This window comes from Homo sapiens, chromosome 2 (assembly GCF_000001405.40).
Source record: "Homo sapiens chromosome 2, GRCh38.p14 Primary Assembly".
Classification (NCBI taxonomy): Eukaryota; Metazoa; Chordata; class Mammalia; order Primates; family Hominidae; genus Homo; species Homo sapiens.
The window spans coordinates 78,079,515-78,105,449 of record NC_000002.12 but is presented as its reverse complement, the minus strand read 5'-3'; the positions used below and the strand labels follow the sequence as shown (position 1 = coordinate 78,105,449).

The 25,935-nt window shown below is 33.9% G+C and overlaps 2 long non-coding RNA genes across 2 annotated transcripts in view; one reads left to right on the top strand and one right to left on the bottom strand.

The window, feature by feature from the left end:
* The window catches only part of LOC101927948 (uncharacterized), a 39,077-nt gene extending 22,357 nt beyond the window's left edge, over positions 1-16,720 (bottom strand). The window contains exons 1-3 of the long non-coding RNA NR_110287.1: positions 16,659-16,720; positions 11,784-11,933; positions 10,674-10,813 (exon numbers count right to left, since the gene is read on the bottom strand). This is a non-coding gene — a long non-coding RNA (uncharacterized LOC101927948). The remainder of the gene's footprint in view (positions 1-10,673; positions 10,814-11,783; positions 11,934-16,658) is intronic.
* Positions 1-25,935, top strand: part of LOC101927967 (uncharacterized) — a 547,036-nt gene that overhangs the window by 185,282 nt on the left and 335,819 nt on the right. The gene's annotated exons all lie outside the window — the stretch shown is intronic.

Genomic DNA, 25,935 nt, shown 5'->3' with positions numbered 1-25,935 from the left:
TATTTTGATTTTTTTGTGTGGCAAAATATATATAACATGAAATTAGCATTGCAACCATTTTAAGTATACAATTCAGTGGTATTAAGTGCACTCAGAATCTTATACAACCACCATCACCATCTATTTATAAAATATTTTCATTATCCCAAACAGAAACTTCATAACCATTGAGCAAAACCCCCCAATCTCCAATCCCATGGCCCTTGGTAACCTCTCATCTACTTTCTGTCTTTACAAATTTGCCTGTTCTAGATATTTCATGAGTGGCATCATATGATATTTTTCTTTTCGTGTTTGGCTTGTTTTACTTAGCATAATATTTCCAAGGATCATACATACTATAGGATGTTTCACTCCTTTTTAAGCCTAAATAACACATCATTTATATATACCACCTTATATTTATATATTCATCTGTTGATGAATACTTGGGTTATTTCAATTTTGTGGCTATTGTAAATAATGCTGCTGTGAACATCAGTGTCATAAATCTCTTTGAGAATCTACTTTAAATTATTTTAGATATATACCCAGAAGTGAATTGCTGTATCATGTGTTAATTTTTTTTGTTGTTGTTTATTTTGAGGACTAGCACACTGTTTTCTGTAGTGGCTGCAACCATTTTACATTCTCAACCACAGTGCACAAAGTTTCCAATTTCTCCATATCCTCATCAACACTGGCATACAAGTAACTGCGTGAGTTCCTGTTTTCAAATTCTTTGGGTATATACTAGAAGTGGAATTGTTTAGTCATATAGTAATTCCGTGTTTAGGTTTTTTAAGAAAAACCTCTAAACTATTCCACATAGGGGCTTCTCCATTTTATATTAACACTAACACAATATCTTCATGGAGTTGCCCAAACTTGTTATTTTCCTTTTATGTTTTTTTAATTTTTTTAAGTTGTTGAAATGATGTAGGATTTTTCTCAGCCATTTTGCCAGCTTGAGACCTCCAGCTGGAGATTTCCAGCCAGCAATGCCCCTGCTTGGCCCACATTCTCCACAGGAGGTGCCCCAACCACTCAGCCACTGGGCCACACCTAGTTTGCACTCTGGCATGAATCCTGCAGCCACCATGATTATGAGCTCAGCCCCCAGATGAAGAGGGTGTGTGGGCAAGTGAGTGAAGGGTCTGGCCAGCTGCTTCAAGTGCTGGCACAGGAGTGGGTTCCATGCAGGGCTTACAGCTTGACCAAGCATGTTGCAAGTGACTTCCATGGTGGACTCTAGCATCTAGACAAGGGGAACGTGAAGGCACTCAAGCAGGGAAGCCCATGACCCAGAAGTCCCAGAGTGGGTGTTACAGTGTGAATAATAACTCTTTTAGTCCCACTGTCCACAGCCCAAGACACAGTGGCAAGTTAACAGCTCTGTCAGTCCTGTCACCCCACTCTGGCCTGAGGCACCTGGGTTGGCTCAGCCCCAGCACTGCTTTCCATGGAGTGGGGCAGCCCCCTTCTGCTGGTGGAGGGTGGAGGGCCACAGCATTACTGCTTTCTTTGTACCTGTGTTCAGCACGGTCCCGAGTTGTTGTTCTGAGTCCAAGAAGAATGAGCTTATGCTGACAATCGAAGGGTGAGGAGAGAGGATAAAAGTTTCACTGAGTGATGAAACAGCTCTTAGTGAAGAGGGAATGTGGTCAGGTGGTCTCTCCCTCAGTGTGGCTGGGTCCAGGGCTTTTATGGGCTCAGAATGCGAGTGTGCTAATGCTGATTGGTTTATAAGTATGCAAAAGAGGCTAAAAGAAAGCCATCATTCAAAGGTGCACATGACAGTGTAAAAAAACAATTAGGGAAGGATACGTATATGTAAAATAGGTGCAGGGTGGGGAGCAATAAAAAAAAAAAGTGCACCAAATGGGGATAGAGGTGCTCAGTCTGGTCTGTGGATTTACCCAAGACTTGTAGTTAGGCTTCAAACTGCCTTCAACTTGAAGGTTGGGTTTCACTGGGACCCACCCCTGTCTGCCTAGGATTTGTCTACCTCCTGCCTGTATTGCTATCAATAACCATCTTAGGAGATGAGGTGTGAGTGGTTTCTCCTTGAGGTTTTAATTTGCATTTCTGTAATGACTAAAGATGTTGAAGATTTTCATGTTCTTATTAAGCATTTGTTTGTCTTGTATGGAAAAATGTCTATACAAGTCCTTTGCCTAATATTCATTGGGTTTTTTTGTCATTTTGTTCTTGACCTGTAAGAGTACTTCATTCAATATATTAAGCTCTCAAAAAATATACAATGTATACATATTTTAAATCCCTAATAGGTTTTATTTTCACTTTCTTGATAATTTTATTTGATGCACAAAAGTTTTCAATTTTCATGAATCTTAATTCATCTATTTTCACTAATGTTGCTTCTTTTTTGGTGATATATCAACAAATCCATTGTTTTATCCAGGGACATAAAGTTTTATGCCTAGGTTTTCTTCTGAGGGTTTTATTGGTTTAGCTCATGCATTTGTTGATTTTTGAAAAAGGTGTAAAGTGGGGTTCAACTTAAATCTTTTGCTTGTGGAAATCCAGTTATCTTGGTATTATTTGTTGAGGATAGTTCTCCTTCTCACTGGGAAACATAACTATCTTTTAAAAAAAAATCAATTGTCCGTATATGTGAGGGTTTATTTCAAGACTTTTAATTCTAATGAGTTAATATATTGTTTCTAATCTTTGTGCCAGTTTCACACTGCTTTGATTACTGTTGCTCTGTAAAAAGTTTTGAAATTGAGAAATATGAATCCTCCTTTGTTTTCTTTTTCAAAATTGTTGTGGGTTTTTGAAGTTTTTTGCAGTTCCGTATGAATTCGGGGACAAGCTTTTTCATTCAGGCCTAAATGGCTGTTAAATTTTTGATAGAGAGTGCATGAGGCCAGAGCTTACTTAGGGTGGTATTAACACAAAAATATTGTCTTCCTACCAATGAACATAAAATATCTTTCCATTTAATTGAGTGTTTTACTTTCTGCAATATTTTCTACTCGTCAGTGGTATCAGAATAACGTTGGACTCATGGAATGAGTTAGGTTGTGTTTTCTCTTCTATTTTGTGTAAGCGTTTCAGGAATATTAGTGTTACTTTAAAAATGTTTAATAAAGGTCACAGTAAAATCTTTTGATCCTGGACTTTACTGGGAGGTTTTCAATAACTGACTCAATCTCTTATTATAGATCTGTTGTTCTCTATTTATTCTGAGTCAGTTTGGACAATTTGTGTGCTTATAAGATAGTTTCTATTTCATCTAGATTATCCATTTTTTGATATACAATTATTCGTAATATATTCTTATAATCCTTTTTATTTTACAAAGTCAATAACTGTACCCCACTTTCATTTCTGATTTTAGTTATTTTTGTCTTTTCTGATTTGTCAGTCTAGCTAAAGGCTTGTTAATTATTTAAAAAGTATTTTCAAAGAACCAACTTTGGTTTCTTTTATTGTATTTATGTTCTTTCTTTTTATCCCCACTGTATTCTTATTTTTGTTTGTTTATTTCTTTTTTGGCCACTTTGGGGTATAATTTTCTGTTTGTTTCTGGTGGCTCAAGGTATAAAGTTTGGTGATTAATTTAAACTTCTTCTTCTTTTTTAATGTAGTTATTTGTATTCATAAATTTTCCTCTGGGCACTGCCTTCTCTACATTTATTAAATTTTGGCATGTTGCATTTTTTGTTTTTATTCATCTTATTTTCTAATTCCCATCATTATTTCTTTTTTGACATATTGGTTGTTTTAGAGAGTTGTTCATTTCCATGTATTTGTTAATATTCAAGTTTTCCTTCTGTTATTGTTTTCCTCTTTCATTTTCTTATAGTCAGAAAAGATACTTGTAGGATTTCAATCTTTTTATTAATAAGTTTACTGAGACTTGTTTGGTGTCTAACATGTGATCTATTCTGGAAACATATGTTCTATCCTAGGGAATGTTTGTGTATTAAAATATCTTAAAGAACTTCAGTCTCATAGAAGGGGAGTAGAAATGTGGTTGAAAGAAAATTGTGTGGGTAGTGGGATAGAAAGGGAGAGATGTTCGTCAAAGAATAGAAGTTTCCCGTGAGGAGGAATAAGCTTGAAGAGCATTGTGATTATGTTTAATAATATACATTGTAAACTTGAAAACTTCTCAGATAGTAGACCTTAAATATTTTTAATACAAAACGTGATAAATATGTGAAGTGATCGATAGGTTAATTAGCTTGATTTAATCATTTCAGAGTGTATGTATATATCAAAACATCATAAATATGTACAGTTTTCTTTGGCAATTACACTGCAGTAAAGCTGAAAAATAGTCATATTGTCTTAATGAATTGGCATTATTTTCAGCATGTCTTTCTATGTGTTTTGCAACAGTTTTTGACTTAAAGTCTTTTATGTCTGATAACAGTAGAGTGACCTCAAACTCTTACTTTGTTACCATGTGCATGGGATGTCTTTTCCTATCCATTCACTTGCAATCTATATATGTCTTTAGATTTGAAATGAGTCTTGTAGATAGGACACAGTGTAATCATATTTGTTTTTCATTTTTCATTTAGGCAATTTCTCCCTTTTGATTAGAGTTCAAACCATTTGCATTTAGAATAATTACTGATAATGAAAGACAAAACTTCAATTTTGCTTTGCTTTCCATATGTCTTTTACCTTTTTGTCAACTATTTCCTCCTTCCCTCCATTATTGTCTTTCTTTTGTTTAGTTGATTTTGTGTAGAAACCATTTTAATTCTATTCTCATTTCCACACACACACACACACACACACACACACTAAATGTAAATTGGTGGAATGTGTTAAAATCATTATATTTACATATATAATTATATATCATACATAACATATATTACATACAAATTAGTATATATAAATCAGTATATATAAAAGTACATATAGAAAATAAAGTATATATTACAAAGTATATATTACCTATATAATAAAGTGTGTGTGTGTGTATACACACACACATACTTTTTAAAGCAACATTGGGTTTACAGAAAATTTGAGTGGAGAATACAGAGTTCCCTTATACCATCTCACTCCCAGCCAGTTTCCTCTATTAACATCTTGCATCACTGTGGTACTTTTTTTTAACCATTGATGCACCAATACTGATATGTTATTATTAACTAAAGTCTACAGTTCACATCCTCAAATGCGTGTCATCACACGAAGAGGTGTTCTGTGTATAGACTGGAAGGTAGTAAATGTGTGTGAAAGAAGTGAAAGTGAAAAAATAAAGAAGCCAACACATAATGCACACCTACTAAGCTCAGAATACTGGTAAAGATATTTTCTTATTGTCAGGAAATATCAAAATAGAAGTTGTAAGTAAGAGAGATATTTGTTCATGAAGACAAATCTCCAGTTAATCTTACATCTGGGGATGAAGAACTTTTGGCCTTTGTGGTACTTTTAAAGTTAAGAGTAGATTCTAATTATGTGAGGTCTCAAAGAGAACTCCATTTGGAGAGATTGCTATAATTTAATTACACCATATATTTCATAATGTATAGTTATCAACTAAAAGATATAAAATAATTATTATGTTTATGAATTGAAGTTCAAGAAAACAATATTAATTGTATTATTGAATTATAGTTTTTATCTTTATAGGCATACTTTACAGATACTGATATAGCCAAAAATATTTATGCACATTTACTCTTATAAAAGTTATTCTTGGTAAACAAATATATCATATCAAGGGTGTTAAAGTAAGATCACCAGGGAAAAAATTAAAGAGAGAGAGAGAAAGAAAGAAAGAAATTTATTGGCTTATAAAAGAAGGGATACTGGGAAAGTGAAACATATACTTTGTGGCAGACAGATGTGGTTTTATGTATTAAAGACTCCTATTTACTAATTTATAAGCTAAAATATCACTTTGTTGCCATTCTAGAAAGGCACCCTTGTGTTCTGGAGAGGAATGATAATTTTTCTCTTTTTCAATGTTTGCAATTCTTTATCAGTTTTTTTATGGAATTTTACAAGGGCTATGTTAAGTATTAGTGGCATCCATTGGCTGTTCTCACTTCCTTAGCAACTTGCCCCTTGAGTTCCTATTGTCCTAGTAGTAAGTTCTAGCACTTACAGAAATGTAGCTTTACTGCCTTTTCTTTGTACATTCAACACTAAACTGATCATGGCATTTTCTGTTTCCTCCATGGTCTCCAAACCAGGGTCCATGTTTTCTCTACCACTTCATTTTGATCCCAGACAATTTTATCTCCTGAACTCAGAAATTTTTTGCTGTTTTACCCAGAGCAGAGTTTTCTATTGTGGCTTTGCTCTTCTGGAGCCATTCCACTCCAATGAAAATAAATGTATATTAGTCTGTCTTTTAATTTTCATACATATTGTCATTTGTCTGTTTGGTATTATTAACTGAAACTGCAGAAAGAAGTGCTGAGAAAGTTATATTTGGGATCAACAGCATTTCATTACAATCTGATTTTTCATCGTAACTTAAAAAAGGAACTTGAACAAGGTCTTTGAGCCTCAATAAATTGGCCTGCAAAGTGGGGATAATACAAGCTGTGATGATTAAAGATGATACTGTATTGTCTTTCTCTTATTTAGAAAGCTTCCCCTTACCTTCCTGGCAAGATTCTTCTCATTAGCTAGGTCCCAGTTGACTTCCCACTTTATTTGTAAAATATTTCTCTTTACTCGAAGCATAATTAATTGCTGCTGCTTCTGTGCTCCCACAGCACCTATTCATAAGCACTTATCACATTTTTAGCTACATTCCAGATTGCCCTTAGCCAGCAACAATTTGTGAACATTTTTTTAAGGCCAGCAATGGAACCAATTTATCTTTAAAAACTTAGAACTTTTCACTTTACCTATCATAGAAATAAAAAGACATTCACTGAATTTCGATTGAATTGTCTCCTCTGCAGAAAATCCAAATACTTGGTCATTTTATGTTCAGAAAGTCGTTTGCACCTCTTCAGATCAGAGATAAGGAGTAAAGTGACCTCAGTAATCAAGCCAATAGGCCACCCCGCCATGTCTGCTCTCTCAGTGCACACTTCCCAAGTTAACCAGAATATTAAGGCTAGTTTTTCAGGGAAGGTGCCCTCTATATTTGACAGTAGTAGAGACACATGGAGGGTATTTATACTTCTTCAATTTTGTATTTTGTACATTCTGAAGACAATTTATTTTCTTAATTCACTTCATTATTTCAGACAGTCAGGTTCTAATATAAATGATTATCAACAGCTATCTTTTTTTATTCATGTTCCATCTGTGTGCACAATTCATTCACAAAAGAATCCTGAATACTTTTCAAGCAACAAACTATTTCTAAGAAAAGTCCCATTTCCATAAATGCACGTACATTCATTTAAAAAACATTTCATTAATTGTACTTCTCAAAAGACAGTATTTTGCAGGCAGTGGCTTTAATTTTGGGGAACTGAATGTTTAGATCATGCAAAGAGCATAATGAGTGAGGTTGGGTGGCATGATATAATAAAAATGTTGAATGATATATGTTAGATTCATTCACTTAGTGAAACCCTTTGTCTTGGAAGAAAATATGGGGTGAAGATGATAGAAAACTTTCGTTTTTGCAAAATAAGTGAAAATTAGCCAGGGTTTTTGAAAAATTGTTTTTGGGGTCTTAGTCAAAGTCTTTTAACATATGAAAACAACAAGGAGGAAAATACGTAAATTTAATGTGTATGTTCAGTTTTCCTGAAAAATTCAGTTTTGAAAAAGTCTACTAAAATATAACAACCAAAGGAGACAATAGATCTTGTTCAAGGCAGATTGATGGCTATTGCATTGCTTTTTGCTTGTGTCAGCTAACCCTGGCAAAAAGAATCCTTTTGCTATTGGGGTGAAACCTGTAAACTTGGATGTTTTCTTCCTTGCTCTAAAAATCTTGTTTATACCTTGTGTCTTTTTCCATTCATCACAGCTATATTTAAATGTGGGTAAAATTTTGGAATGTTTGATTTTTATTATACCAAGGACATTTATGTTTAACCTGACTGTGTAATTAATAATTAATTGTAATTAACAAATATTCTTCTTTGTCCATGTGTAGAAAATACTTGTTAATTTGAAAAACACACCTTTTTGATTTGACATTTCTCTGCTTTTAAATTAAAACAAAACATAAAAGAACCAATTTTTGTAGAACATGTTAAAAACTAATGCCACTAATTTTCATTTGTAGTTTACATAAATAATCTTTATACATTACATGCAAACTACTTGCCTATGTACATAAAAGCAGTAGGCATTATTCTATATTCTACGTTGTATATATCATTATGCTGATATATGAAATATGTACATAAGATCTACAGTATACTACATGCAGGGGCATGGGCTTCAAAATTGTATGATTAGATAATGTAAAAATATTCAAACAACTACAATGTAAGCTTGATTTAAAAAGCTCTGTCATTTATGTTGCGTTTACTATATATTTAAGTTGGACTGTTGTATTTAATAAATTAGAAGCATTTTCCTTTTATTGATGAGTAGTTTTGTGTGTCTGTGTGTGTTTTTTTTGTGTGTGTGTGTGTGTGTGTGTGTGTGTGTGTGTGTGTGTGTGTGTGTTGTTTTGGAGATTTAGTCTGACTATGTCACCCAGGCTGGAGTGAAGTGGTACGATCTCCACTCACTGCAACCTCTGCCTCCCAGGTTTGAGTGATTCTCCTGCCTCAGCCTCCCAAGTAAATAGGATTATAGGTGCGTGCCATCATGCCTGGCTAATTTTTGTATTTTTAGTAGAGACGGGGTTTCACCTTGTTAGCCAGGATGGTCTCGATCTTCTGACCTCGTGATCTGCCTGCCTCAGCCTCCCAAAGTGCTGGGATTACAGGCATGAGCCACCGCGCCCAGACGAGTTCTCTTTTTCTCATCATTACCAGCATTTGATATCTTTTGTCTTTTTGATAATAGCCATTCTAAGCGGGCTGTGGTGATATCTCATTTTGATTTTCATTTCCCTGATGATTAGTGCTGTTGAGCATTTTGTATATATATGGGCTAACAAAAGGCATGATTAGGGCTAACAAAGGGATTATTATATACTATATATATAGCAATATATATTGTATACACTATATATATACACACACACTATATATATATATATATATGTATATATAGTGTGTGTGTGTGTGTGTATGAATCTCTTTGTTAGCCCTAATGCCAAAGGACAGTTACACTTTGTTGCGTAGTACAATTGATGATGACTTCAAGTTATTTATCTATTCTAGCTCTGCCAAATTGAGGCTTAGGCTTAATGTTCTCCTGACTCCATGGTTAATTTGATTGTTATGATAAATCAATAGGTACATGAAAATCCGAAATCCAAAGCTTAAAGCACCATCAGTGCTCTTTGCATCAAGACTCTTTTTTTTTTTTTTTTTTTTTTTTTTGAGATAGGGTCATGCTCTGTCCCCCATGCTGGCCATGCTGGAGTGCAGTGGTGCAATCATGGCTCACTGCAGCCTCAACCTCCAGGCTCAAGCGATCCTCTTACCTCAGCCTCTCTCGAGGAGATGGGACTACAGGTATGCGCCACCATGCCCAGCTAATTGTTGTATTTTTTGTGGAGATGGGGTTTCACCATGTTGGCCAGGGTGATCTTGAATTCCTGGGCACAAGCGATCCACCCACATCGACCTCCCAAACTGCTGGGATTACAGGCATAAGACACCACAGCTTGCTGAGGACTCTTTCCAAATGATTCATTGTAGATATCACACTTTTGGAGACACACTTCTCCACTTCAAGCATCTCCCACATGTGATCTGTTGTCTTGCATGTAAACAGAAAGAGATATGCTAGATAGAAAAACTGTAGTATGGTGACCTCAAAAAAAATATACTATAGATCTAGGTGGATAGATATACATATAGATATAGATAAATAAAAGGCACTTCAGATTTGGGGTTATAAAAACTGTAAGACTGGGATCAGCGAAACGTAATGTGGGTATCAGAAGAGGCAACCCTTTACCACTCTTTAGCATGTTAGACTTGCTTTTTCACATGTAAGACAGAATTTAGCAATATCAGTTTTCAATCGTAAATTCAATTTTAATTATAGTGGTTAAGTAAGGAAATTTACCCCCAGATTCGAATAGAAGTTTGTCTTCTAATCTCTTTGTTTTTATTGTTGCAAGATTAATTTAAAATAATCAATAAAATCCTTATTTATTGATGTGCTGTACATGTTAGGCACTGTTTCAAAGAAGTTTTACACAGTATTTGATTTGTTCTTCACAATGCCTAATGTAGTGGATATTTACTTATCTGCTTTTTTTGTTTGTTTGTTTGTTTTGTTTTGTTTTGTTTGAGACGGAGTCTCCCTCTGTCGCCCAGGCTAGAGATCTCGCTCTGTCGCGATCTCGGCTCACCGCAAGCTCCGCCTGCCGGGTTCATGCCTTTCTCCTGCCTCAGCCTCCCGAGTAGCTGGGACTACAGGTGCCCACCACCACGCCCCGCTATTTTTTTTTTTTTTTTTGTATTTTTAGTAGAGACAGGGTTTCACCGTGTTAGACAGGATGGTCTCTGCCTCCTGACCTCGTGATCCACCCACCTTGGCCTCCCAAAGTGCTGGGATTACAGGTGTGAGCCACCGCGCCCAGCCATTTATCTGCATTTTTTAAAAATACAAACCCAGTATTAGAAAAATAAACTTACCTACAATCTTACAAATGATAATTGTGAAGAATTAAAACCGAACATTGTTCAACTTCATGTATGTGATCCCTGTACTCTTATGAGTCCTTTATTTTGTTGTATGCTTTTATATTCTCTTTTCTGAGACTTCTGTGGTTGTTCTAGTGAAAAACAAATTGATAGGGTGTGTCATGAACTTCTAATTAGATGTCCTCTTGAATCTGAAGAAAATTTGCTAAAGTAAACTTCTGAGATTCTAAGTTATTTATTCAACTTATCTGCTAGAAAGATGAGTAATGACCAGTCTTTTGCATTTTATTGATTAAACCACATATATAAATAGATTGACAGATAAAATCCAAATATTAGTGATGAATATAAAAACCAAATTACAGTCCATTATTTGACCAAGAAGTGAAACTTTGAAGACAAATAAGTATATAACTGTAAGTGATAACATTTGAAATTTAAAAAAAGGTGTCCCTTAAAACAAATATAAATGAAGAAAATTCTTAAGTGTGAAAAACCAGTGTGAAGAAAGCTTTATATGGCTAGGAGCTATAAATAATAGAAGCAAAATGTAGTAACTAATGCAAAAATTGTACAAAAGGATTATATTTTAAAAAGATAATATTTTAGTAACTATATATAATAATTTTGAAATTCAATATTTCACTAATGTTTATTTTTAACATATTGTATCATGGACTTAGCAGTTTAGGTAGAAAGCTCTGTGAAAGTAAAAGTTATCCAGAGGCTATAAAAGAGCTTTCAAAATTCAGGGACATTTTCATAAGCCACCTCAAATTCATAAAGCAAACTGTCAATGGGATTGAACAGCAATATTTACCTACTCAGAAATATTTTCTTTCTAAATGTAAAGGGTAGTGAACATATCATTCAGTACAACTACTTGCTTGAAATTGTTGTAATTACGATTTCTGTAACACAGCATTAAAACATAGATTTAAGAAATCAGTATTTGCAGGTGCCAGACTCCAAGAAGCATTTTCTTGGAATATTGAATACATTAAAGTCACAAAATTGACAGCCTGGATAACTTTTATAACTAGAATGTCAGCATCCTTTTGCATTTTTAAAACATGTGAGGGATGGAATTCATTTTCTTACTTAGATTCCAGCTGTGGGAGGCCCATGGGAGCTTCTGAATTCTCTGCTCCTCAGACATATGCTGAGTTCCATCACTGGAAGAATTAGAAGCTCCAGCTTTCCTGAGGGTGTCCTATTTATAGCAGAAGCAAAAGGCTTTGTCTTTTGTCTCTTTGTAATTTGAAAAAAAAAAAATAGTACTTTAGGTATATTATATTGTAATCTCCAAAAGGATTCCAGATTTACTTGCAGAATGACCAACACACCCATACGTAGCTATTGCAAAGTGTCCTTTAAAATACTGATAAGTACAGCACGATGAAAACACAATCCTACCAAGAAATTCAAACTGATAGTCAACCTACAAAAAGTGTGTGAGGGGCTGTGGAGGTAATAGGCTATTAATAATGCTAATGGAGTTATATTACGTGAAATTGTTTTCACCTCAAGCCCAATTTACACCTTGATACATAAAATACATCCCACATAGGAAAGAAAGCCCCTCCTGCACTATAGGTACCTCAGTTTAGAAACTGCATTGAGATAGTGGGACAGCTATCCTGCACTGCACTGGATGTTTCTTTTAGAGGTGAAGTCCAATCATCCCATTCACCCTCAACCCTTAAACTTTATAAACTACTCAAATACAGCAACTTCCAGAGAAGAAAAATGAAGAAAGAAGGAGACTGGAAGAATGAGTAAGTTTCATATGTCACATTTTTCTATGGGATGGTTTCACCATAAATAAACTATTCTATGCAGAAGCAACTACAGCAAAAGTTCTCCTCCTTGTCATTTATGGTAGAATCTTTACCTTTTATTTTTACACTAGTATAGTGTATTATAGAGCCAAGTTTTAAACTTAGAAGGAACAGTTTAGTGCAGTAGTCTTGTATTGAAAAACTTTCTGAGAAATTAAAAAATTAGGCTAAGAACCATGCCCATCAACCTGACCCCCAACTTAAATTTGAAACAAGAATTCTGTCATCATCTAGTGGACAATAAACTTTAAATTTTAGAAAATATAGATTGGGAGGATATTTATGTATACATAATTTTTTGTAATAAAAAATTTTTAATTAAAAAATTTTAATTTAAATTTAAAAAATTAAATGGAATTTAAATTTAAAAAATTTATGTTCTCATATTCCTTCAGTGCTGGTTTAAACATTGTTAGACTGCTTTCATATGTCTTAAACTTCAGGCCAACTCTTTGTGCACTTTCTCTTTACTTAACCATGGCTTAATTGGGTATAGGTAGAGAGCTTACTTATAGTTCACTGCCACAAAATAAATTTTGCCACTTCGTAATTTCATGTCAAATGTGATGAAAATGAAGCAGTAGGAACCGAAATATATTTATTAAGTTTTTTTCAATTGACAAAAACTAGTTGTGTATATTTATGGGGTATAAAATTTTGACCTATGTATTCACTGTCCAAAGAGTTAACAAAGCTAATTAACATATTCCTCACCTCATCAACCTATTATTTTTTTGTGTGGTGAAGGCATTAAAAACTATTCTTTTGTAATTTTGAAATATACAATACTTTATTGTTAAATTTGGTTGTGATGCAGTGCAAAGGATCACCCTTTGTCCTCCAGCTTAAGTGAAACTTTATTAAAAGGAAATATTTAGAGAAATAAAATTTGACAGAGTTTAATTCAGCAAAGTATGATTTGTGAATCAAGCAGACCAGAACCAGTGGAGGCTCAAAGCCACTCTGTACTGCCGTGTGGTCCAAGAGGATTTATGGACAGAAAGAGGAAAGAGACGTACAGTAAATACAAGTGAGTTAGAGAAACAGCCGGAATGGTTACAGCATGGCATTTGCTTTATTTAAATATGGTTTGAACAGCTGGCTGCCTTTGATTGCCTGAAACTTGGTAATAGGTACAAGAGTAAGTTACAATCTGTTTATATATCCAATTAGGCTACAGTTCACTATGTACAGAGAAACTTTAGGTCAAATTTAAAATACCTACGGAAGCAACTTTAGGCTAAATGTAATTTAACACCTTTGATCAGCATTCCCCCTTTTCCCATCTCTCTGCCTCCCTTTCAGCCTCTGGTGGTCACCTTTCTACTCGTCGTTTCCATGAAATGGACTTTTCCATTTGGTTTTGTCCAGAAGTCTGTGGTGTCAATATTATAGTTCAATTTTGGTGCTAATATAGGATTAAAGCAAATAATCTTACAAACAGTTTGGCACGTAGAAAAACTTTGTAATATATTGGCTTTTGTTATTAATACTACTTGTCACAGTGTGGAAGTATTTGACACTTGGTGGGATCACACTTGATGGTAGGTATGAGCATATTTAAATTCTGATGAACTCAAGTAGTCTAAGTCAGCCTCTTCAAATCTCTTCCAACGCTAATTCTCATTCACTATCTATTATGTTGTCTGGTTTATTTTCTTCATAGAACATATTACCATCTGGTAATATGTTTTACCATCTGGCAATATATAGTTTCTGGTTGAACAATAAAAAAATTAAGTATAGGTAATAATAAATGCATCCTTACAATGTATCAGTCCTTACACATTACTCATTTAAGTCTCATTCTCTTCCTACAAAAAAAGGCAGGAAAATTTGTATATTTTAGAGGTTATTGTGGTATATTCATATGTTAAGTAATCACTTTAAGATCACTTGATTATCAGATGAAAAGGTAAGAATTTAAATCCAAGTTTTTCTTATATGGTAGCTCTCACTATGTTATTCTGCTTTAAATAATATATTTAACATTTTATATTATTCTACTAGTTATATTTTAATTTATTACTTTAGTCCTACTATTGCAATTTTCTGACATTTTCCCACACAAAAAAGAAAAAAGATAACAAGTTTATGATCTTATATAAAGCCAGTATTTATTTTCAATCTTTCATGAAAAAAATATGCTTTTCCTTTTTTGCAAGATGATTGAAATACCCAAGATAGATCTTTCTTATGAAAAAGGGTTGACATTAAACTATTAGAGCAATAAAGCAGAATAACCAGAGGGACTTTAACACTGTGAAACGCAGTTGCAAACTTGTTCTGCTATAACTGGAGTCTCAAAGGGCTCTGAGTGATAGTTACAACACAAAATAACAACTGAAACATGGGAAGAAACAAACTATAAACTATTAGAAATGCAGATTATTTTTATTGCAAAAGTAATATATATTTACTGAGGAAAATTTAAATAACCTTATCCAAAATAGAACAGGAAGAAAAATCTAAAACTCACATGTAATCTCACCAGTTAAGAGATGGTGATTGTAAATATTTGGCTATAAGATTTCAAACTCTTCCTATATTTACATTTATACAAATGGGTTTATATTATACATAATTTTTAGAGTTTTTTCACTTAACAATAGGCTGCAAAGATCTATTCATCACGATCACTTAGTTATCTGTATTATTATACTATTAACTGTGTTTTCATTGTTGAACTCAGGAGAGCTTTTTAGTTGTGTTACTAATTTAAATATGCATGTGAATCAACATTCTTGCAGGTGAAAACATGAGCAGACTCTTGTCACTCCTGTACGATAAGTTCCTAAATGTGAAGTTACTTTACCAAAAGGGACAAACACACACACATATATACATAAATAATACTCATTTGTATTCATTCATTCATTCAATTTGTGCATCCATAGGTTGCTAGTAAACATGGTGATTTTCACCCATATGAATGTGGGTGACAGTTTCAACATCTCTACCATTATTAACTACTCAGACGTCTAAATTATATGTATTAACTAATTATTTTAAAATGCGTCCAGCTTTTCTCATGTGATTAGTTTTTTCCTAGGGTATTTTTCTTTCCTCATAATTTTTACATGCTCTCAATTCATTGAGGATTTAATTTTTTTCTCTACAATATGGTTCAGATAAGCATTTCTGCATCAACCTTTATCATTTAAAGTTGAAGGGTAAATAATAATAGTTACTAAATAGGGTACAACAGGATGGTTTGCAATCAGAAAATCATTAATAAAATATAATATATTGAACATCAAAGGAATTATATGAATGATAATCTCAGGTGATATTAAGTTTCTTTTTAGAAATTATCTTCAACTCCATCTGTCTTCTCTTCCAATTTTGCTGTTAATAAAATAACTATTCCAATCCCTCAATCTGAGCTCTAGATGCCTTCTCTTTTTACTTTCTCATGAACTTTGCTCATTCATTTTATTTCTACTCTCCTATCCTGTAATTACAATTTATCCATATCTATTGACATTAGTATTATATTCACATCAAGTTCTAGGAAAGGCAAAGCTAATCTACAGTGAAGAAAAATACGCACACTGGTTGCAGGATTTTGGGAGAGGTTTGGTCTATAAATCGACTCAAAAATGACATGAGGGAACTAGTAGTACAGCTAAAATCCCATGGGTGATCTTTCAGGCCTGACCATAGGCAATCACAAAGGATTGGCCTGGCAGGCCTCATGGAGCAAAGCTATATACCTCACATTGAATTTAGCATACAGCGAATGCATTGCAGCAAAAACTCAGACCCATATGGTCAGCTGTGCCCTGACAAATATCTGCATTCTTATCCCACGTGCCTTCATTTGGAGGTCCCCTTGTCTGAGGCCTTCCTCAGGCACCTCTGCAAACACTTCGTTATGGGGGTAGAAGAGGGGAGGGGGATCTTGAGGACCCTTCTCTCCACTCTGACTTAGTACTCCACATATTTTTATTCCTAGCTCTTCTGTCTAGCCCTCTCCGACCCCAGGTACAAAAAACTGCAGAAGACTTTTAGAAAATACACTGCAACTAATGCGATGGAAATAAACTGCCACAAAACACACACACACACACACACACACACACACACACACACACAGAAACTGAGGTGCTGCTAACACTAACGGGAAACACACAGGGAAGGCATGGTCCTCTCCCCTTCTCCTCCAGCTTCCCAGTTTCCCTTCTGGTATCTCTTGGAAGAATGTGAGCAGCTGGTGATGTTGAAGTGTGATTTGCAAAGTTCCAAGCCCATTGTTGCCAAACAGAGTGGAAAGTAGAGGGATTGGAGCTGAAAGACAATTATTTAATAAAGGGCATACCATTCAACTATTACCATAACACCTATCACCTCAAGTCTCAATGTCCTCATCTTAAATGCATATGTATATATATATATGTATGTGTGTGTGTGTGTATAATGATTAATATATACACATATTTATATGTGTCCAAATACACACAGATGTAAATACACATGTATGCCCTATATCAGGCCAATAAGATTATTTGATACTAAATGTGGAGAAAAAAATACTCAGGTCACTCTAACCAAGAGAAGAATGTGATTTCTAATATTTATAATAGAATATTGCTATTGGAATCACTGCAGTTTTTGCTTTTACATAATTAAATTTTGTTTTAGGTTTTAATTTTTTTAACAAAGGAATTATTTCAAATTTGTATTGCGTTTGTACTATAAAAGAATGGTAACCATAAGATATAAATTGACAATGAAACATGAATTATGGTCTGATCACACATAATATTCAAATTTGCAACTATCTAGGAAAATCTTGAAGTTTATTATTGTAAAGATATGTTTTGAGCTATGCATTTCTCTTTATTTTATGGAAAATAAGGACCATTCAAATAGTATGTAGGAAGCATTGGTAATCAATCCAGTGGGTGCTGCCCAGAATGATTCTGAAAATTTGCTGATTTCTGTGTGTGTGTGTGTGTGTGTGTGTGTATAAATCTAATGCCTATAACAGTATCTGGAATAGTAGGTTCACAATGAATATTTCTTAAATGCATACGTGAGAAATATTGTATACATACATTTGTATATTAAAAGTGCAATGCAACAATTTACAGACTAAAAGAAAAAAATAAAAGTGCATTGCAGAACCTTTTCTTTAGGGTCTAAAAGGAATTTGGACCCTTTGGTGGACTTAATCTCGAGCCTTACGTCTTTCAGCAGATAGCCTATTAGGGCCATTTATCATGCTTGATATGTGCACTTTATTTTGCTTACTTTGTTGTAATAGATTACATTTATTGTCATTTGTGGGGTATTTGTACTCCTTTAATAAAATACATGAGTTTTTCAGGGTAATTGTTTCATCTGGTAGTCTTCTTTTTGTCTCCTTTATAGCTTTCCTTTTTCTTGACTTGCTCCTTTTTAGTCGCTTCAAGAAATTTTTCTCATGCCTAAATTCAAGGCAAGTGTGATAGAAATTATGTAGCTCCTTATACTGTCAAAGGAGTTTAATATAGCTTAACTGTGTATAGAAGTTAGGACTAGCCATTATTCCATGTAATAGTTCAGAAACTGAAGGGAAGAAAATTATGTGATTTTAACTTTTTTAACAAATGTGAAAGAGTTCAGTTTTAAAATTTCACGGTAGTGAATTTTGTATTTGTTACATGCATAGAGGGAAGACGTCTATATTTATAACTAAATCATTTAGATAGAAAAAGAATCCCACTGACTATATATTCTTACAATTTTGTCTTCCTTTCTGCCTATTTCCTCTTCAAGTTTGGCTCCAGGAACCAAAGTGACTTGTTCTTGTTGCAGCTTGGGTTTGATGACTTTGGTTAGTACCACTACCTTCCCCTTCCCTCCTTATCTCCCTTCATTTTGGAAATAAATTTCTGCATATGTTGAGGGGAAAAAGTGCATTGCAGCAAATAGAAACAATAAATATCCTTCCGATTTCTAAGGCTAAAAGACTTCTACATCTGCTAACATTAAGTGGGCAGTGACTAAATGCCAGTCATTGGGCAAAATACCTATGTACATTTTTCATTAAACTTGTGAAGATCACATGAGCAGGTGGCACAGAGACAGCATTCAAATGTAGATATATTTGCCTCCAAAGATATAGTTCTTTATCATTTATTCTACAATACTTCAGCAGTTTGTCACCTTAGCACATGCTAAATTTGGAACTATGGTATTTAGTCACTAATTTATATGAAGGAATTTTGTTTTTAATTTTGGCACCTTATAATAACGTATGCTGAGCATAAAAGTAGTAAGTGGTTGAGATCCCAAATAGATACATATTAGAGGTCAACAGTGCAGAACATTTCTTCCATAACCCTTCAAAACTATGGCCTTTTGAAAAGTGATATTTTAAAAGACCTAATTCTGGCATGATAGAACATTCATTATGGAAAAGGCATACTCTTGTTTGTTGGTTTCAAATCAAATTACCTATCTAAAACCAAATACAGATATCAATCAGGATACTAAAGTAGGGAAAATGAAAATTATCTAAAAGACAGGCTTCTTCACTCTGGAAAGCAATTTGGAGATTTCTGAAAGAACTTAAAACAGAGCTACCATTAGACCCAGCAATCCCATTACTGGATATATATCCAAAAGAAAACAAATCATTCTATCAAAAAGATGTATGCACTCACATGTTCGTCGCAGCACTACTCAAAATAGCAAAAACAAGGAACCATCCTGATGTCCATCAGTGGTGGACTGGATAAAGAAAATGTGGTACATATATGCCATGGAATATTATACAGCCATAAAAAATGAAATGGTGTCCTTTGCAGCAGCATGGATGCAGCTAGAGGCCATGATCCTAAGCAAATTAATGTAGGAACAGAAAACCAAATATCACATCTTCTCACTTGTAAGTGAAAGCTAAACATTGGGTACTTATGGACATAAATATGGTGACAATCGAAACTGGGGACTACTGGGGCGGGGGAAGTGAGGGGAGAAACAGTTGAAAAACTATTGGGTATATGCTCAGAACCTTGGTTATGGGATTTTTCATATTCCAAACCTCAGCATCACACAATATACCCAGGTAACAAAAATACACATGTATCTCCTGAATCTAAAATAAAAGTTGAAAAAAAGATAGGCTTCTAAATAGCATTTTGCATATATTACAGTGTGATAAATGATATAACACAAGATTCTTTTGCTACACAGGACAGGAAATCTTCATTTTATGCTTCCTTCTTAACACAATGTAGTGAATTCACTAGGCCAAACACCAAACTCTTGCATAGAGCAGGCCAGAACAATGGATTTGTGGTTGTTGTGAAGAACCCTGACTAAAATTCTATTTTTATTCCACTTTAAAACATACAGGTATCAGAGGCACTACCTCAGGAAATACCGGGAAAAATATTATTTTTCATGGCTTGCTTGCTACTTTCTCTCTCTCTCTCCCCCTCTCTCTCTCTCTCTCTCCCTATCTTTCTCTCTCATTGCCTGCTGTCTCTATCTCAACATATTTGTACATGTGCTCACACAAACACATACATACACACCTCAACTTTCTCGTGTATTGCAATTATGTATAGCATATAGTCTTACTCAGCTCAGGCTGCCATAACAAATCACCATAGATCAGGTGTCTTAAGCAAGAGGAATTTATTTTCTCACAGCTCTGGAGGCTAGAAGTTCAAGATCAAGGTGCTGGCATGGTTGGTTTCTGGTGAGGTCTTGCTTCCTTCCTTGTACACAGATGCCTTCTCACTGTGTCCTCACATGCAGAAAGAGAGAAAGAGGAGAAAGAGGGTGAAAGAGAGAGAAAGAGAGTGAGAGAGAGCAAGCATTCTGGTATCTTTTTTTTGTAAGGGTACTAATACCATCATTAAAACCATACCTTCATGAGCTCATCTAAACCTAATTAACTCCCAATCGCCCCTCCAAATATGATCACATTGGCAAACAGGGCTCCAGCGTGAATTTTAAGGGAGCACAATTCAGTCCATACCACATTTGATGCTCTATTTAAAATTGTTTATAAAAACAACTAATGTAACCTTCATTATCCCTTTTATTTATCATTTTCCAATTCAAGTTAATCTTCCACAATTTTTTAACCTCCATTTAATAGAATTCAATTCATCTATGTCCTGTCCAGAATATCTAGCAGATGCTTCACCTGGACTTCACTTAGAGTATACATTTTCAACATTACATATACTTTTAAAACATATATCTTATCTTTTTCTGTTTAGATATTCAATGGACAACAAGAGATGTTACCTAATTCTCTCATAAATCACCAACTCTGGCTTTTTCTAATTTTATATATTCAGGGAAAATGTTGAAGAATCAGAATTAATTCCCAGAGGCATTTTCAAGTGTATAAAATAGGTGAAATATCACAAAAAAAAACAGAAGTTACTTTGTGAAGACTTTATGATTACTGCCTATGCTCCTCCTTCTTTATTTATCACTCTCCTCGAAGAATAGCTGAAATTAAAACAGTTAGTTTTATCACTACTTTTTGTATTATCTCATTTACTTTATTTTAATACATAATGGCCATTATTTTAGTCTCTGTTTTGAACTTTAAATTTTATGCAGAAAGTTAGATATTCTTTTTTATCGTTGAGTTTCATAGAGTAATGAGTTATATGTTATGGGAGTCTCACATGCTTTAAATCTGTTAAATATGTAAATACATATGTATGTGCATTAACACACGTATGTAACACACTAACACACACACATACACACACACAAAAACAATTCCAAGTCATTCATTTAATCTATCTATTTAATCTGTCTATTCATTTAACTATCTAGCTCCAAATAATTGGAGGCAAAACCCAGCATAATGTTACTATGCTCTAGTGTTCATCTATAACATAAGAAAGTCCTGTTTGATGTTACTGAACTGCAGAATTGCTCCCCTGAAAGTCTGATCATTTTATGGAATGCACGAAGAGGCACAACCTTATTCCACATGAGAAGGTTTATCTGAGACGTGGACATTATCAGTGCCAGTTCTCAACCCTTAGATTTGTTGTTTCAGCAAGAGCTGTTCTCCATGCCACCAGGAAATGAACTTAACTTCATCTTGGTGTAGGTGTGTGAATGTGTGCTTTCCATTGAAACAATCAATTTCACAGCAAATCAACCTCTTAATGCCATACTATTTCACAAGTGTCTCTAAAGCACAGAACATTATGGCAAAACATGGCTTTGTTAGGCACAGTTCAGAGCATACCAATGTGTTCATATTTATCTTATGACCATGACCTCAAAGTCATTCTAATCTCATGATCATAACAAAATAGGATAGAAGTACATCATATCTCTGAGAAATTTTCTGTTTACCTCAGCTTCCAGATTTTTTATTGTTTATATTAGGAGTTCTACTTTACCTTATGAATTTGCAGTCATCTTGAATAAGAAATGTTCCATCATAACCCACTTCATTTATCCCACCAGCACATGTTTGAGTTTTTGGGCAATACTCATTCTCATGCTATAGAAGCTGATTTATTACTTTTATTATAATTTCCTTCTTTAGAAGCTATTATCATGAAATCCTTCAAAATTCCTTAATCAAGGGCTATTTTTTCTAAGCTATAAATATGAGCAGAAATAAAAACTGGTTAAGCTTATTATATGATGATTCTTAAATACATGTAAATAACCTTAAGACGTGTGTAATATTTGACTAGTAGTTCATGTCTGAAAACATGTGGATGTCTTAAAAACATATTTAAGCGTGTGAACAAATTTGTCATTAAAATGATGTATGCTATATCATTGTTTATCATATCAAAAATTTAAAGACTACTTGGTGGATAAGCATAGAAATTGGATAAACTGGTAGAGCAACTTTGAAAGACAGTCTGTCAGTTTCTTACAAAGCTAAGCATAATCTTTATATATTATCTAGCAATCATGCCCGTACATATCTATCCATATGAGTTAAAAAGTCATATCTACACAAAAATCTCCATGCAAATATTTATAGCAGCTTTATTCATAATCTTCAAAAACATGAAGCAACTGAATGTTCTTCAAAGGGTGAATGAATAAGCAAACTGTGGCACATCCGTACAATGGAATAGTATTCATTCATAAAAAGAAATGAGCTATTGAATCACAAATAGATGTGGAGGACTATTAAATGCATATTGCTTAGGGAAAGAACTCAGTCTAAAAAAAGTGCATGCTACATGATCTAACCATATGACATCTGTCAAAGTCACGCACATCTCAAAGATGTAGAAACAGTGAACAAGTTCAGTGGTTACCAGGGCTTTGGGAGAAGGAGGAGGGATGAATTGATGGAGCACTGGATAGTCTTTAGGAAGTGAAACTACTCTCTATGATACTGTAATTGTGGAAACATGATATTATGCATTTGTCAAAACTCATAGAATTATATAACACACAGAGTGAACCCTAACGCAAACTGTAAAATTTAGTTCATAATAATGTATCAACATAAGTTTATCAACTACAATATATGTACCACACTAATGCAAGATGTTAATAATAGGGGAGACTGTGAACAGGAAAGAAAGGGAATATTTTGGGAACTCTCTGTACTATTTACTCAATTTTCTGTAAATCTAAATCCATCTTAAAAATAAAGTTGTTTAATTCAAAAGAAATGAAAGTGATTCTCCACTCCTAATATCAAGTACATTTTGAGCCATGTAAATACTTATTTATAATTATTTAGGATGCTAAATATTATCAGAAAGATAGAAAATTTGAGAAAGAGAAACAAAACAAAGCTAATTGATAAACTTATTATGAAACTTAATAATTATTTAAAACTTTTAATCAAATATTTGCTTATTTTTAAAAGTATTTGGGACAAAATAAAAGAATACCCTAAAATTTAAAACAATATGTAGTGAGTCTGTACCAGAGAAAAATGCAAATATGTAAAGAAATAAAAATTATAAAGTAAAAGTAAAAAGGCAAGGAAGGATAGATTCAATATATCTAGCTACTGTGTATTGTGAGCTTTATAAAATGAAAATCTAAATCATGGAAAACGTAGCAAGAAATGAATTGCATTAGTTTGTTGAAAACAGCAGCAAAAGACTTAGCTTAGGTTTTTGACTAAATGATTGCAAATGCTAAGAAAGATAATATGTATTTCAAGAGAACAAGGTGGAGCTACTTAGCGGTTAGAGAAAATTATCCAACCAACATTATGTCAAGGAGATAAGAGAAGATATGGGTATAGAAAGTAGATAATAATGGTTGGATAACATCTGGGCCATAATCAACATGAGTTAGCAAAAGAGAACTCTTTCTACAACTTTAAAAAAGTTTTAAAATACTGCAATAGCTAGATAAAAATAAAGTTCAAAATATATTTTTATAAAATGGGAACAATAAATACATATTATTGGCTAAAGACAAGGCACTAACTGTCCAACAGAGTGAATATACAAAAGAGAAAGGATATGTTCAATGATGAAAGTTCATAAGTTATGTGGTCAAGGAGAACAACAATGGCCCAGATAGGAAAAGAAGGACTAATCGTTTCAACAAATGAGACTAGATAAACAAGACCTATATGCAGATGTTTCTAAGTTTGTGAAAGACACAACAATTTTATGGGAAATTATGGAAGAAAGCAACACATTTTTTTTTTTTGAAAGTGCAGCTAGGATTTCTATTATTGGTCTTTGCATTTGGTATAATGTTTTTTAAAATGGGTGAAGTAGGGTATAGAGGTAAAATAAATGATTGATAAATAGTACTGAGGACATTTTAATTTAAAATTCAGAATTGTTATTGGTGACCAACTAGTTGAATGATTTTCTCCAATTGCACACAGCAATGCAGATGTAGGATTATTATAGTTTTTTAATTTTTTTCCATCTTTCTGTTTATCTTTCTCTTTTCCGGGGAGGATCTTTGTGACTGAAGTAAGGCATGAAAGGGGATTAAGATGCTGGCAAGAAAATATTTAAATGTAAATAATAGGATGCAGAAGGTAAGTTAGCTTAGCTGATGCATAGTCTGAGAAACACTGCCTGTCATGAAAGCATAATTCTATGAGGTCTAGAATTTATGAGGGAGAGTGAGAAAGAGATAAAAAGTTATGAGGCTGTGTCCAAAGACTATAGTATTGAATTTTATTATTTATATGGTGAAGTAACTTTGTGGATTAGAATATCTAGGTCAGTGTTTCCCGAAGTGTAAGCAGGAGCACTACCTGAATCAGAATTGCTTGGGGTTTTTATGATTATGCACATTCTAGAGCCCTGTTCCAGACCCAATTCTCTGAGGGTGATGTGTGGGGATCATTATTGTTAACATAGAACCAGATGATTGTAACAACAGTTGAAAAATCTCTAATAATAATTGCGATCACTAAGGACATGGCAGAAGCTGAAGTGAAGTTAACTGGAGTTTGGGAATTAAAAGATAGTGAGAGTAGAATTTTAAAACAGTGAAACCTTAGACATTGATGAAAAAATGTTGGAATGAAGAGAGTAAATAAAATGAAGTATTATTTCCTTAATTCATCAAATAAGCATATGTTGCCACAAGTATGAGCTTCCTTGCTGATATTTGCTAGTCTGAATCAGGTGACAAGCTGGAGTAAACAATGCACGTATACATAGTGAAAGTTAAGAACCAAAGAATCAGAGATCAATGGTAAAACCTCAAATGCAATGCTGAGTTCTATAGCGCAGCCACTGGTTCTTGCCATATGTCTCAATCAAATAGCTTCGACAAATTTATTATTAATGTCACCAATCTTTGATATATAGGAATGTTGAATATTGCAGAACATTTAAAATACTTTAATTCAGCTTTCTCATGCTATCATCACCACCCATCTTTACCGTCAGGGAGTCAATTGGTAAAACAAAAATTCTGGCATGGTATTTAGCTTTTATTTAGAGGAAGTGAGACAAATATTTAGGAAGAATCACATTGAGACATTTTCACCTCTGGAACATGGCAAGAAACAGGAAAAGCCTGGGAAGAGTTGACATCATGAGCCCATGAAGGACCAGCATCAAGGCATTCTGAATACCACAAGACAAAAGCTAGAGTTATTTCCCTACTTCATTTACTTCTGTGAAGAAGTTCATTATATGATTCCTTTCTTATACATAATTAGATCAGGAACATGTAAAACTGAACCTCAAGAGTTTCATAGCCATGACTTCATCTGGAAGAGTTACAGAAATTCAGGAATTCAGAGGCAGATCCATTTAACTTTTAAATGAAGCGCCCATAGGTATTAGCATGATCTTACATTTTCAGTTGTCTCTTGTGTGGAAGGAAGTGCATCCAATGTGGAAACAGTTTTGCATAAAGGAAACACGAGATGGTTTGACTAATTATGTACAACAGAGGAGAACATGTACTTATAAAGCATTTAACCAAACAGAAAATAATATAAAACACAAACCTAG